The 13842-nt window shown below is 48.4% G+C and overlaps 1 protein-coding gene across 9 annotated transcripts in view, besides 3 other annotated features; it reads right to left on the bottom strand.

The window, feature by feature from the left end:
• Nucleotides 1–13842, bottom strand: part of JDP2 (Jun dimerization protein 2) — a 47165-nt gene that overhangs the window by 16748 nt on the left and 16575 nt on the right. The window lies entirely within an intron of this gene.
• Nucleotides 3819–4332: an enhancer, noted in NCBI's record as "NANOG-H3K27ac-H3K4me1 hESC enhancer chr14:75919731-75920244 (GRCh37/hg19 assembly coordinates)". NCBI's record gives its function as "activates a minimal SCP1, AML or CMV promoter by ChIP-STARR-seq in primed H9 embryonic stem cells {active_cell/tissue: H9 hESC(primed)}" and the evidence as "EXISTENCE:reporter gene assay evidence [ECO:0000049][PMID:30033119]".
• Nucleotides 4333–4848: an enhancer, noted in NCBI's record as "NANOG-H3K27ac-H3K4me1 hESC enhancer chr14:75919215-75919730 (GRCh37/hg19 assembly coordinates)". NCBI's record gives its function as "activates a minimal SCP1, AML or CMV promoter by ChIP-STARR-seq in naive and primed H9 embryonic stem cells {active_cell/tissue: H9 hESC(naive and primed)}" and the evidence as "EXISTENCE:reporter gene assay evidence [ECO:0000049][PMID:30033119]".
• Nucleotides 4849–5363: an enhancer, noted in NCBI's record as "H3K27ac-H3K4me1 hESC enhancer chr14:75918700-75919214 (GRCh37/hg19 assembly coordinates)". NCBI's record gives its function as "activates a minimal SCP1, AML or CMV promoter by ChIP-STARR-seq in naive H9 embryonic stem cells {active_cell/tissue: H9 hESC(naive)}" and the evidence as "EXISTENCE:reporter gene assay evidence [ECO:0000049][PMID:30033119]".

The raw sequence follows: 13842 nt of genomic DNA, 5'->3' as shown, positions 1-13842 counted from the left end.
GAGACTCTCCCCAGCCCTTCTTGGGGCTCCTTCGTCCCCAGAGTCAGGGCTGCTGCCTCCTCCTTCCTGGTGCTTCTTGAATTCTCTAAAGCATTTGCCCATGTGTGGGAGAAAGACGGCAGAGAGTATTTGTACCACACATGGCTCTGACATCTGAAACCAGAACCCCAAACTGGGTGATAATGATTTGTTTCCGCAGATACAGCTGGAAGAACCAGGATGTTTGAAGAGGAGGCAGCTTGACGCTCAATACATTTAAAGAACCATGAGATGCGGGCTGAGGGTGGGAGGGGAGCATGCTTTTCCCTGTTCTCAAACTTAGTGTTGGCTCTGTTTTCCTGCAGTTTCCCAGGAAGGCCCAAGGGCAAGGCCATCCGGGTCCTGGCAGTGAGGGGTACTGCTGTGCCACACTTCACATTGGATGGAGAGACCTGGGGACTCAGGACCAAGAGGGCCCTCGTGCAGAGCAGCCCCGCCTCACCCAGACCCCTCCTCAGACAGCCTGCTCTCAAGCCCCTGCCACAGCTGACTGGACGAGGCATGAATGGCTGAGCCGAGCTGTACTCACTCTCCTGGAATTTTAAATTGGACAGGGAGATCCTGAGTGCTGGACTGAGGGGTCATGCAGGGCCGGGCAACCAACTTCACCCCCAGGCACAGGGAGGCAGGAAGATCGGGCTGTGAAGTTTAGGGTGAGCAGAGACCAGAGACCACGTACCAAGAGAGAAACAACCACTCAGCTCCAAGACGGGGTCAGGGAGACAAAGAAACAGGCAAAGAGAGGGAAAGGGGGATGGAGAGAAAAGCCGGGCCTGGAGCAGGGGAAAGCAGGTGGGGTGCCCAAGGCACACATTTAAGCAAGTGCAGGGTCAGCACCAAAGAGGAAGCACCTCCCTACATGCCACGCCCCCGGGCACCTCACCCAGGCTTGCTCACCTCACCAGGCCCTGAGACAGAGCACTCCCGACAAACAGGCAGACAGACAGAGACAGTGGGACAGAGAAACACACAGAACACGGAGATGAAGAAGGGGAGAGAGAGACACAGAGGCAGTGCCACAGGGAGAGAAACATGCAGAGATGTGGACAGAAGCCAACGGCACAGACAGAGGAACAATCAACAGAAGACACACAGAGAAAGACGCTGTCTTGGTCCTCTTGATGCCACCCTGGTGAGGACTGACTATGCTCCTTGTCATTGGGACTATGAATCTGTCAAAATTCCTCCCTTGGCTTGAAGGGAGTTTGAGAAGGTTTCTGCCACATGCCACTGAAAGATGCCTGGGACACCAAGCTTCTACCCTTGGAGGTCAGGTGATGCCAGGGGCTAATGGAGGAGCTGAAGATGGTCCCCAGTGACCAGGGGTGAAATCCCACCCTCAGCAACATTCCTAAAACCGCTGAGAAAGCAGCAGAGCCTGGATGCGGAAGGGCCCTTAAGCAGCCGCCAATAAAAGGCAGAGGTGGGTCACCTCGGTCGGTACCAAAGCCCCTGGACTAGGGGATCCCAGCAGGAAACAGGGGTTTATTTAAAGGAAATTAATGAGGGAACTACTTACAGGGGGTGGACAGAGCTTAGGGAACCCGGGACCAGCAGCAGTGGAGTCACGAACACCTCCGGCCTGAGGCTAGGGTCAGGAGTGATGATTGGAACCCAGGGAGAGCTGTCACTTAGCCATGGCAGAGGGTCACCAGACAGGAGCTGTGCTCTTTGGTAGAGGAACACACCACTGCCCAATGGGTGCCCAGCAGGGAGGGATCAGGGGAATGAATATCCCAAATTCTTTTCTAAGGCTGGTACCTCCTAATGGCCAAGTTCAACCAGAAGCCAGAGTGGAAGGACTCCTGGGTAATGTGGTCCATTGAGATGAGCCACCTGGGGCACAGAGCAGGGTAAAACGGGAATGGATCTGATAGGCAAACAAGACTATCTCGTGTATGAATCTATCTCTGTGATTTACATAAGTCCACCCCCAGTCCTGGACCCAGTCACGGCCTGCAGGCAGGAGTCAATGACAGCAACAGTTGAGAGATTCCTACAGGGCTCGTGGTCATCCCCACAGCGAGCACTTCCTGGACGTTTGCCAGGAGTCAGGCACTGTGGAGTGTGGTTGGCCAACAGCACAATCAGCCTCACCCAAGCTCTTGTTAGAAATGCAGTCTTGAAGGCCACCCAGACCTACTGAATCAGGATCTGTATGCAGTACATGCGCACGCAGATTTGTGTGCCCAGAGAAGTTTGCCCTGGAGCCGATTAAGGACTCACACAGTCCATTTAGCAGGTTGTCATGATTCCACCTGCAAAATACATCTCTAAGGTGTCCACCACATTCTCCATCCCTGCTGCCTCCAGCCTGGTCCAAGCCCTCGTCGCCTCTGCACTGGACGGCTGCAGTGGCTCCAAAGGGCTCTCCCTTGGCTAAAACACAAGTCAGCTCCTCTGCTTGCAACCCTCCAACAGCTTCCAACACATGTGGCCCACAGAACCGAGAAAACCTGGCTCCTCCTGCCTCTCTGACCTTCCACTACATCGCCCTCCTCTACCCCTCAACTCCAACAATGGGCCTTCTTCCTCTCCCTCAAAACGACAAGTTCTTCCCTGTCCCCCGGGTTTGTACTTGCTGCTCCTTCTTGACGTCTTTACTGACCACCCCAAACTAAAAGCCCTGTCCTGTTACTATCTCCCTGTGTATTTCCTTCAAGGTGCATTCACTAACAGCACTTATCTTTTTCACATGCATGTTTGCCTGCCCGTTGTCAGTTTCCCATGAGAACCTTAATCTATTCATAGTTAATCTATATAAATATCTCAGTCTATCATCACCTTCACCACTGTCACTCAGCCACCAGAGCTGAGCATGGCACAGAATGGGTGTTTATTAACTAAATTAACTACATTTAATTTGCCATCTCAGTAAGTCACCCAGCACAGCTCTATTCAGCTTCCCCACTTTTGCAGATGAGGAAACTAAGAACATCAAGGCTGCGTAGATGCTCAGTGACAGCGCAGGACTCGTATCCAGGTCTTTGGGCCGCAGGGCCTGAGCACGTCCTGCTCTTCAAGGGGTGGGTGGTCTGATCATGATCACTGCCTTTAGAGTTAGAAGTTTTTAACATGTTTTAAAAAACGTTATTGCACAATTTACATGAAGGTGTAACATTCAAGCTCCATGGTTTAAAGGAGGGGACGTCACCAGCTCCTCTCGGGCCTAACCCTCACCCATTTCCGTGTTTCTCAGGCCCCGTCTGCAGGTGGCGCGGCATTTCCACTGTGACAAACAGCAGCCCAGATGTGATTTTGAATTCTGACTTTTCATAAGCGTTTTCAAAAACATAGCTTGCAGGACCCACAGAGAGACAGAATGAGAAAGAGAAATTACATTCTCAACCCAAGGCGCTGAAAATACAGAAACTCTCACATGGACAAAGAAATAAAGGAAGTGATAAGCAAAAATGGACACAAAAGAAAAACCAAAACCCCCAGCACTAACCAGAGTAGCCCAAGTCTGAGGGTTCTGTCTCATACTAAGAATTGTTGCCTGGGCAGACAGAACCAGGCTAATCTGAGACTTGTGGCATCAGAGTTGACAGTGTGAGCTTTGGTTGGTGGGGTTGGGGGGTGGTCTTTAAGACCTGAGTTCCTCCAGAAGCTCTGCTGTAGACCAGCTGTGTGCTCCTGGGCAAGTTACTTGGCCTCTCTGAGCCTCCATTCCTCACTTGTACAGGAAGGTACTGAGCCCTGCCGCACATGGTAGTAATGAGGACTGAGTTCCAGCCCAGAGCCGGGAGCACAGGAAGAGTTCCGTGATGCCAGCTTCCCTGCCTTCCTTCGCAGGCAAGGCGGAGGTGGTGCTATTGCAGCAGCGGCACACTGGCCTGCCTCCGGGCAGAATGCGGCACAGAAAGGAGTACTGCGGAGAGGGAGGAGCAGGCTGGGGAGTTCAGGGCGTGCTGAGTTGTCAGTGAGCAGGCCTGGAGTAACAGCCCCGCAGCCTCCAAATCTAGCCTCAGGCCTCACACAGCCAGCCAGGCCCACCAGGGCCCCCCCTGCATGGAGGAGCCACATTTCAACACCAGGGACCCATGAGCACCCTGGGAAGTAAACACCCAAATACCAAACATACCAGACATTCCCCTACATAAACAGGGCTGCACTAAGCCAGGGGCTGCAGTCCCTCCCCACTCCCCCACCCCCCATCAACAAAGTAGGGCAATTCAGGGACAAGATCTCAGCCTGCCCAGCCGGCTAGGCCCATAGCCTCCTCCCACTCCAGGAGGGAGGAATGAGGAAACCCCAGGGGCCCTCAGCCAACTCCCTTGCTGACCCCCGGCAGCCTGCAGGGGCCAGGCCCTCCCAGCATCCCCCATGGGGCTGAGCTGTTGGAAACTCTCTGCCCTCCTGTCTCTCCCGTCATCTCTTGCCAGGCCTTCTTACTCAGTGGCCAAGGTCTGGGCCTCAGCTGTGAAATATTGAGCTGTTTCAGTGAACAGCGGGCAGGGCTTTAGGAGAAAATTCAAGACAAATGGTCAGTCTAAGGCTGGGGTTGCAGACTCACATCACCTCAGGGGTCAAGCAAGTAACTCACCATTAGTGAGGGGGGAGGGCTGGATGGGGCGGTGGCCACCCCTCCTGCCATGGGAGGGGACACTAGCCCCAGTGGGATGCAGGCTCAGTGCTGCTAATTCTTCCAAGTTTTCAAGAAAATATAAATTTTTGAAGTAAAATCTCCCACTTTTGAATGTCAGCAACAAATTCCATTTTGAAAGGAACACCGCATGAGCCAAACAAAACACATCTGTGGGCTGCACTGGCCCACGGCTGCTGATTTATGACCTCTGGCAGTCAGCTGACCCTAGTGGGCTTGTCCTCAGAAGCCTGGGCTCTGGTCACCACAGTGCCCTGCTCTGTGACCTCGAGTCAATCAGGTCACCTCTCCGGTCCTGGGGCTCATCTTTAATAAGCACAAGTAGCTCCCATTTCTCACTGACCTTCAAACACATCTGCAAGGTGGGTCTCAGGGGCCTTATTTTACAAGTGAGAAAACTGAGGCTCAGCGAGGTGGAGTGTCTGCCCGAGGCTGCCAAGCTGGGAAAAGACAGGGATTGACTCCATTCCATCAGGCTACCTTCCACACGGTGGGCTGGACTAAAATCTCCGCAAAGTCCTTTCCAGCTCTGACTTCTCTGGGTTTTCATTCATCCAGCCTTCAAGGGCAGCGTGGGCCTGATTGAGGGATGTAGGAAGGGTGCCCCCTAATTTCTTATAAGAAGTTTCTTAGCTGGGCACAGTGGTGTACACCAGTAGTCCCAGCCACTCAGGAGGCTGAGGCTGGAGGATTGCTTGAGCCCAGGATGTTGAGACTGCAGTAAGCCATGATTGTGCCACTGCACTCCGGCCTGGGCAACAGAGCAAGACTCTGTCTCGAAAAAAAGAAAAAAGAAGTTTCTGCTTTTACAGACGCTTAGTGCCAGGGGCTCTTGGAAGCACCAAGGCTAATCCCTAGATTTTAGATGAGGAAACTGAGTCCCAGAGAAGGAAATGGCTTGCTCTTCAAGACAGGGATTGGGTCTTCACAGACCAGCCCAGAGGACACTGCTTGGTCCATCCTCCTGGGAGGCTCTGCCTGACTGTGCATCATCCCTCTTTCCTGAATTTTCCATGCCCTGGACCCACTCCCCTGCACCTGCCCATCCTCTGACCTTGCCTTTCCAGTCTCCTGCTATTTCCCATCCCTTCCGGGCTGTTTTCCAGGTCCCATCCTTGGCCTGCTACTCTCCTCACTCGATACGCACGGCCTGTGGATCTCCGTTTGCATCTACTCACGTGGTTTCAGCCACCACCCATACACTAATGCCAACCAAATCTGGATTTGCAGACCCAAATATCCAAGTGCCAGCTGGGCCAGACGCTCAACGTGGATGTCCCTGAGGGCTCACTACCTGCCTCCCCACACCCCCGTCCCTCTTGTTATCTCCAATTTTGATCACGCCAGCCATCCAATTCTAGATTTTAAATCTTCGTCAGATTTGCTCCCCCCATCCACCCCCACTGTCACTTTCCAGGCCCACTGTCTCTCCTTGACCACTGCCCCAGTCCCCCAGGAGGCCTCCAGATCCTGCACAACCATCCTCCATCCCAGCCATCGGAAGGATCTTTCTAAAATGCAAATCTGGCCCAGTTACTGTGCACCTTACCCTCCGGATGAGGCCCAAGCTCCTATGTCAAATGAGGTTGCTGGGACTTGGCCCCACCTGCTGTGGTCTTACCACCTGTTGATCCCAGGGTTCCGCTCTATGCTCCTGAAACACTGAGGTGCCATATACCATACACTTCCCTGGCCTTCATGCCTTTGCCCTGCTGTCCCCTTGGCTTACTTCTCATGTCTCCTGTACATGCAGCTGGAGCATCACCTCCCACTGGAAGCCCTCCCTGATTTTCACACCCTGTAGGCTGAGGAGGTGTCCCTCTGCTCTGAGCGTATCCTGGCCCCTACTGTATTATATTCTATTCACAGTTTCTGACTCCTCCATTAAACTGGGAGTTCCACGAGGGCAAAGTCTGCATCTTGTTGACTTTTTGTGTGCTCAGCACCTTGCGTGGTTAGGGAGGAAGGGAGGCCTGATCCACAGAGCTGGTGACCTGGGCAAGAACCCAGACACTCCTGACTCCAAGTCCAAGGTTCTTTCCACTTCACTTCAGCTGCCCCCAACAGCAGGATGTAATCAAGCACATTCACCTGTGAACAAACCCACACACTGGACGCTGTGCTCACTCAAATCAGCTCAGCCAACCACCAGGTGAAGGCTCTGAACAAGAGCTGGCAGAGGCAATGGCTCCACCTGCCAAGATGAGTCACTCGGCTCCCATGGCTGGGGGCACGGGTGGATAAGCCATTGCCCTGTGTGCACAGCATCTGCAGGAAACAGTGTGGGAAGCAGGGCTGCAAACTAAGCTCCAGCCTTAGATTCTGCAACTGAGAAGACCCAGAGACCCTAGATCCTGGCTGCATCCTCAGGCCAGGAACTCAAGGTCAGAGAAGGGGAATGAGTGTGCCCCGGTCCTGGGTCGGACAGTGACAGGACCAACTGGAAGGCTACTGCTTTCTGGGAAGAGGCAGGGGACACCTTCTGTATGAACTGAAAGCCTGACACCCTACAATCTTTGTGGGGCATCAGAGCCCACAGGTGGATCCTTCCAAACTGACTCCTCAGTCTCCTCGTATCTCAGCCAGATGCAGCATGTCTCTGACCAGGGCCCTCCCAACTCCCCTTGTCCATAGTAAAAACCTTCTTTTGCATTAAGAGAACCCCAAAAACAACAGGCCGCCGAGGTGTGAGGCTGGTTTATATGAACAGAATAGGAAAAGGCCATTCTCTCAAAAACCAGTGGAGAACAGCCCCATTTCCACGGCTAAGAAAAGACAGCATTGTGTTTGGAACAAAGCCTGAGAAAGCCAGCTAGGCAGGGTGACACCCATTTACAGCCGGTTTTGCTAAGGAAAGAGCAAACACTGTTATTACAAAAGTGAGAAAGAATCCAGGAGACACAGGAAAAATCACCTTGGCACAGACAGAAAACCTAACACTGAAGAGAAAAAGAGATGATGATTGCTAGGAAATCCTTTTGCTAGAGAAGAGCTATTTGGGGAAGGATGTCTTTTGCTGAAATATGTCTATTTCAGGCCCATTTCATATTTATGACTTAGTGGGGTCTAGTTTCCCACTAGGCAATCAATCTGTTTTCTTGTCCAATTGACAGTCACTTCAAAAGATGAGAAAAGGAGAGAAATGGTGGCCCCCACAAGACCCTCATCACCCCCAAAAGACTGGTGAGAAGCAGAATGCATCTGGCAGGGAAAAATCTGTCTTCTTCTCAAAGAGTTAATAATACAGCTGAAACTGACTCTTTAACAACAACAAATGGTGTAATATGCCTTGATTACACTGGGTCAAAAATGGAGACAAGAGCTCCTGCAAAATGACTCTATCTACAATTAAATGAAAATGCAGTCGTTGCACAGAATATTTATGAACAAGGCTGTTCTGAAAGTCCCAAGCTGGCCAAAGTAGGAGAACATTTCAAGTTCCATCTTATTAAAGCCTTTGGAAGTCATTTGTCTTTCATCATGAAGGTGAAAAACAAGGTCCTTGGCTTAATTATTCTCTACCAAGGCAGTTCCATTTAATCTGTATGCAGGGTGTGTGGCTAAAACATGCATTTCATCCAATTTCTTTCAAGCACAAGGCACAGATAACAGACAAATCTCCCGGCAAAGGCAACCTCCCCATCAAGAATACTGAACACCAGCTAATATAAACCCTACCGAGGTGAAAGGGCCAAACCGTTCACAGCCAGGGATATCTGGCCCGGAGGATGGAAGAGGGGTTTTACCAAGAGTGATTTATTTAAGGAGATGGATGCAATTTAGGTGCAGAGAGAAGGTATGGAAGGGCTTTGCCACACTGAGGCAGATAGAGTGGGACACAGAGCTCCCCATTGCCAGGGCTATGGAGTGGATCCTCAGTTATCAGACCAGAACTGCTGAGAACTCTGGGTCAGTGGCAGCAAATGAGGGTTCCTTTGGCATGAGAACAGCTTCTCTGATTCTTCCTTCTAAAACAATGAAGGAACCAGCCTATTGACAAGCTCGGCAGCGTAATTAATTGGGAAGTCCCTTAGGGCGTGGACGTGGCAATGTTGAGCATCTCAAGACATGGAAATAACTGGTTTGGAAACGCTAAGGTATTTGCTGATTCAGAAAGCAACCCCTGCCTTACACAGATTCGGGGAACCATAAGCATTAATGAGTATCCAATGGCAGGTGGATCCATCTAGGAAGCTTGAGATAGGTGTTGAGAAAAATGTGGTTTTAGATCCTTTAACCATTCTCAGATAGAATCATGGCCAGTCAGAGCTGGAAGGGGTGACCATGGAGACATGCTCTACATGTGCAGAGAGCATCAGAATCCCCTGGGGGGCTTATTGCATCATGGATTTCTGGGCCCCACCCTTCAGAGAGTGTGCTTCAGTATGTTTAGGGTAAGACCCAAGAATCTGCACTTCTAACAAGCTCCCAGATGCTGACCCCACTTTAAGTAGCATCTATTGGTTTCAGCAACAGAAACATCTTGTTCAAATGATACCACAAAATACTCAACAGGTTAAGGCGGTATATATTTTACTTAAGGGCTTACAATTGCATCATATCCTTATTATAGTCATTCAATGAGAACAAAAAGATGTTTTGGCTGGTGCAAAACCTTTAACTCAGAGGTTATCTGAGATAGTTGCAGGTTTCTGATAATCTCGTATCCAAATTATTCCTGTCTTTTGTTTTTCTTGCGCATTCAGTTTAGTAGTTAGTTACAAATGGTAGGTAGGTGATAGCTAGCTAACTAGCTAGCCGGGCACAGTGGCTCACGCCTGTAATCCCAGCACTTTGGGAGGCCAAGGCAGGTGGATCACTTTGAGCTCAGGAGTTCGAGACCAGCCTGGGCAACATGGCAAAACCCCATCTCTACTAAAAATACAAAAATTAGCCAGGCATGGTGGTACACACCTGTAATCCCAGCTATTCAGGAGGCTGAGCCAGGAGAATCACTTGAACCCCAGAGGCAGAGGTTGCAGTGAGCCGAGATCACGCCACTGCACTCCAGCCTGGGCAATAGTGAGACTCCAACTCAAAAAAAATAAAAAACATAGACAGATAATAGATAGTGCCTCATCAGCTTGCTTTCCACTCTCAGGATGCTCATCAGTTAATGCGAAGTAGCAGGAAGAGCTTTGTGCTGAAGTCTATGTAAAATAGATTAACCTGGCACCAGCTGTCACCTTGGCAGTGCTCTCCAAGGTGTTAGGTCTGATAACTAATAGGTATGAGCATGTGTGTGGATCTTGCCTTTTTTTAATAATAGATAAAATTATGCTTTAAAAAATGAGACCCTGGCAAGTGACTTAATCTTCTGAGCGTCAGCTCTCTAACAACTCATACTACTAACACCACCTCATAGGGTTGTTGGAACAGATCAGAGATGACGTCTACAAAAGAAGTTTGCAAACTATAAAGTGCATTGCTTGTGTATGACTTCTGACCTGAACACAGATGTCCTCGCTCCTTCAAAGAACTGGGCTGGTTTCTTAACTGGATTACCAGGTTTTCAGCTAATGGCTACAGGTTAGAACACCTGCCAGCCCCACTCAGACCAGCTGAATCAGGATCAATATTTTTGAAAGACTTTCCGGGGAATTCTAATCAGTAGTCAGAGTTAGAAACTGCTATTCTATACCATATATCCTCCCTAGTTCTATATTAAATCCTATCAGATTGTTCTCCTTGCTCCTGGATAGATACTAGCAATAAAAAGGAAAAAAGGCTTCTTCACTGCCGCTGGTCTAAAAGGGGGTTTTAATAACCCTAGCTACTAATTCTGGAACATTGTTACATACTGGGGGATTTGTATACATTATTCCTTTTCAGCCTCCCCACAACCCTGTAAGGCAGATATTATTATTCTCCATTTTTAAAAGCACTTTATTGAGATCAAACTCACACATACCATACAATTTGTCCATTAAAGTATACAATTCACCAACTTGTATTATATCCAGAGTTGTGCAACTATCACTACAATTTTAGAACACTTTCATCACCCCCAAAAGAAACCTCATATCCCTTGGCCATCACTCCCCACTCCTCCCATCTCCCCACCCCTAGGTAACCACAGTACTGGCTCTACTTCCTGTCTCTATGAATTTGCCTATTCTGGACATTTCATCTAAATGGACCCACACACTCTGTGGTCTCTTGTGGCTGGCTTCTTTTACCCAGCATAATGTTTCCAAGGTTCATCCATATTACAGCATGTATCAGTTCTTCATTCCTTTTTATGGCTAAATAATAATCCATTGTATGGATAGACCATGTTTTATTTATTCATGCACCAATTCATGGACATTTGAGCTGCTTCCACTTTGGAGCTATTATGAATAATGCCACTGTAAACTCTCATGTATGTTTTTGTGTGGACATGTTTTCCTTTCTGTTGGGAAAGGAAATATATGTAGGAGTGAAATGGCTGGATCGCATGGGAACTCTGTTTAGCCATTTGAGGAACTGCCAGACTGTTTTCCAAAGTGGCTGCATCATTTTACATTCCCACGATCAATTCATGACGACAGCTTCTCCACATGCTCACCAATACTTGTTATTATCTCTTTTTTTTCACTATAGTCATCCTAGTGGGTGCAAAGTAGTATCTCATTGTGGTTTTTGACTTGTATTTCCTTGATGGCTATGATGTTGAGCATTTTTTCATGTGCTTAGTTGCCATTTATATATTTTCTTTGGAGAAATTAATATTGAGATCTTTTGCCCATTTTTCTACTGGGTTATTTGTCTTATTATTGAGCTGTAATCATTCTTTATATATTCTAGATACAAGTCCCTTATTGGATCTACGATTTGCAAACATTTTCTCTCATTCTGTGGATTTTCTTTTTACTTTGTGTCCTTTGAAGTACCAAAGTTTTTAATTTTGAAGATGTCCAATTTATTTTTTTTATTTTGTTGCTTTTATTTTTGGCATAAAATCTAAGAAACCACTACCTAATCCAAGGTCACAAAGATTTACAGCTGTTTTCTTCTAAGAGTTTTCTAGTTTTCACTCTTACATTTAGGCCTTCGATCCATTTTGAGATAATATATGTATATGGTACTAGGTACTAGGTAGGGGTCTATTTCCCCTATTTTTACAAGGGACGAAACTGAATTTCAAACATCTAGTGAACTCTCCAGAGCCAAACTATTCCAATGCAGCAGTCCTGCTTTGCTACATTGCCTCCAAAAAGGCAAGGGTTTTTATTCGCGGGGACTGGGGAGTTGGTAGGGTGTAGGGAGGACTACAGAGGCAAACCACGGAGGAGTTTGTCAGAGCATACACATGCACTACGCTCAGTAAAAGGGGATCCTGTAGCCACAGAGCAGAGCACAGTCAATGAGCCCCAGCATATGGCAGGTTGTACACAACCTGGAAGGGTGGCTAAACCCAGAGGAGGCCCAGGCCCTCACTCCCAGCACTTTCACATCCCGCCTGAATCCATCCATGAGTTCCTCTAGATCTCCATGCTCCAACCTCAGGCCAGGTTGCCTTGTGCCTTTTGGGCACAGTAGAAGGAAAACAGACTTAAATGGCTTCATAGTTGTTCAGCCAGATGAGCCTCACCCAGGAGAGGACTCAGTTTCCCAACTCTGAGTCCATGTTGCCGGTGGACCTGGAAACATCAAAGTAAGATGGTAGGATTGACAGAAGACTTGACAGCCCTTCTTAAGGCTGCTAAAAGATTGTTGGTTGATGGGAATACAACGATGACATTAACACCACAGGAAACAAGATAAGGGGTCACAGAAGGCAGCTTAGGGGAAAACAGAGGCTTGAAAAGCCTTCTCATTTATAGTTTGTTATGATAATTAAAACTCCAGCTGCGTCTAAACTGCATAAACAACCAGAAACTGGAAAGTCTGCTTGCTTCCCTGAAACCCAGGTCATAGGCTAATACTTCAGAAAGGTTAGTGCTGTCAGAATAGGTAGTTCACTACACATGGAATCAGTCTCTAACAAAGGTAATTTACGGACATACTGCACTGCAGTCAAGGTCATCTTTCACACAGCACCTCACTTAATCTTCGCGATGAAGCTCTGTGATGAGGATGTGGATCCAGTCACCATGTGCAGTATGTGCAGGAAACTGTACTACTTTGGAAAGGGCAGTTTGGATTTTCTCCTGTTACAGATGAGGAAACGAGCTAACTTTCCCAAGGTTGTGCTGGGAATGAGCGAGAGAGCCAGACTTTGAACCCAGAACTTGCACCCAAGCCCAGAACTCTTCCCAGGCCCCAGAAGTAGCCCCTCTGGTTAGGAAGCCTGGATGTGCCCTGCTCCTGCAACGCCTCAGACCACCCACCATCTCCGAGGACAAAATACCCTCAGGTCAATACAAGCCCAAGAAACAGGTTTTTGATTCAATTATAAAAACTACTTTGCACGATCAACACATTTGAAAAGTGAGTCACAAGCCTACCTTATATCTGTGTCTTACTAAGTGCCAGGCATCATGTGAAACCTTTAGCAGCATTAGTTCATTTCATTATCATAGCAGCAACAGGGGTTGGTGGCTCACGCCTGTAATCCCAGCACTTTGGGAGGCCAAGATGGGAGGATCGCTTGAGCCCAGGAGTCCAAAAACAGCCTGGGCAACATGGCAAAACCCCCATCTCTACAAAAAATACAAAAATTAGCCAGGCATGGTGACATGTGCCTGTAGTCCCAGCTACTCAGGAGGCTGAGGTGAGAGGATTTCTTGAGCTCAAGAGGTCAAGGCTGCAGTGAGCCAAGATCATGCCATTGCACTCCAGCCTGGGCAACAGAGTGAGAATCTGTCTCAAAAAAAAAAATTCATAACAACACTAAGAGGTAGGTATTATTATTATCCTCACTTTAAGATATTAATAGAAAACCTAAGAAGCTGTAAGACTTCCTGAGCTTTTCAGAGGTGTCTGATTTCTGCTAAGGACATAGAGATCCAGCCACGTCCTCACCACCACCTCTCCAAGGGACCCTGTGCTAGGATAACAGTGGGTGTGACCGACTTCTGATTTTAAATAAAAGCTTCAGAACCCTTGTGAATGCTCTGGATATGGTATCAAATAAGACTCAACACCACAGGGGCCAATGTTAAACACACTCATAGCTGCCTTTAACTATCACTCATTCTCCCTCAAATTTAATTTTTTTTTTTAAGCTAACAGCTTTCGAAAATGTGCTAACAAAGTAACGGAACTAAAGT

The sequence above is a fragment of the Homo sapiens genome, chromosome 14 (genome assembly GCF_000001405.40).
Source record: "Homo sapiens chromosome 14, GRCh38.p14 Primary Assembly".
NCBI classification, from domain to species: Eukaryota; Metazoa; Chordata; class Mammalia; order Primates; family Hominidae; genus Homo; species Homo sapiens.
This window is presented reverse-complemented; position numbering and strand designations above follow the sequence as displayed.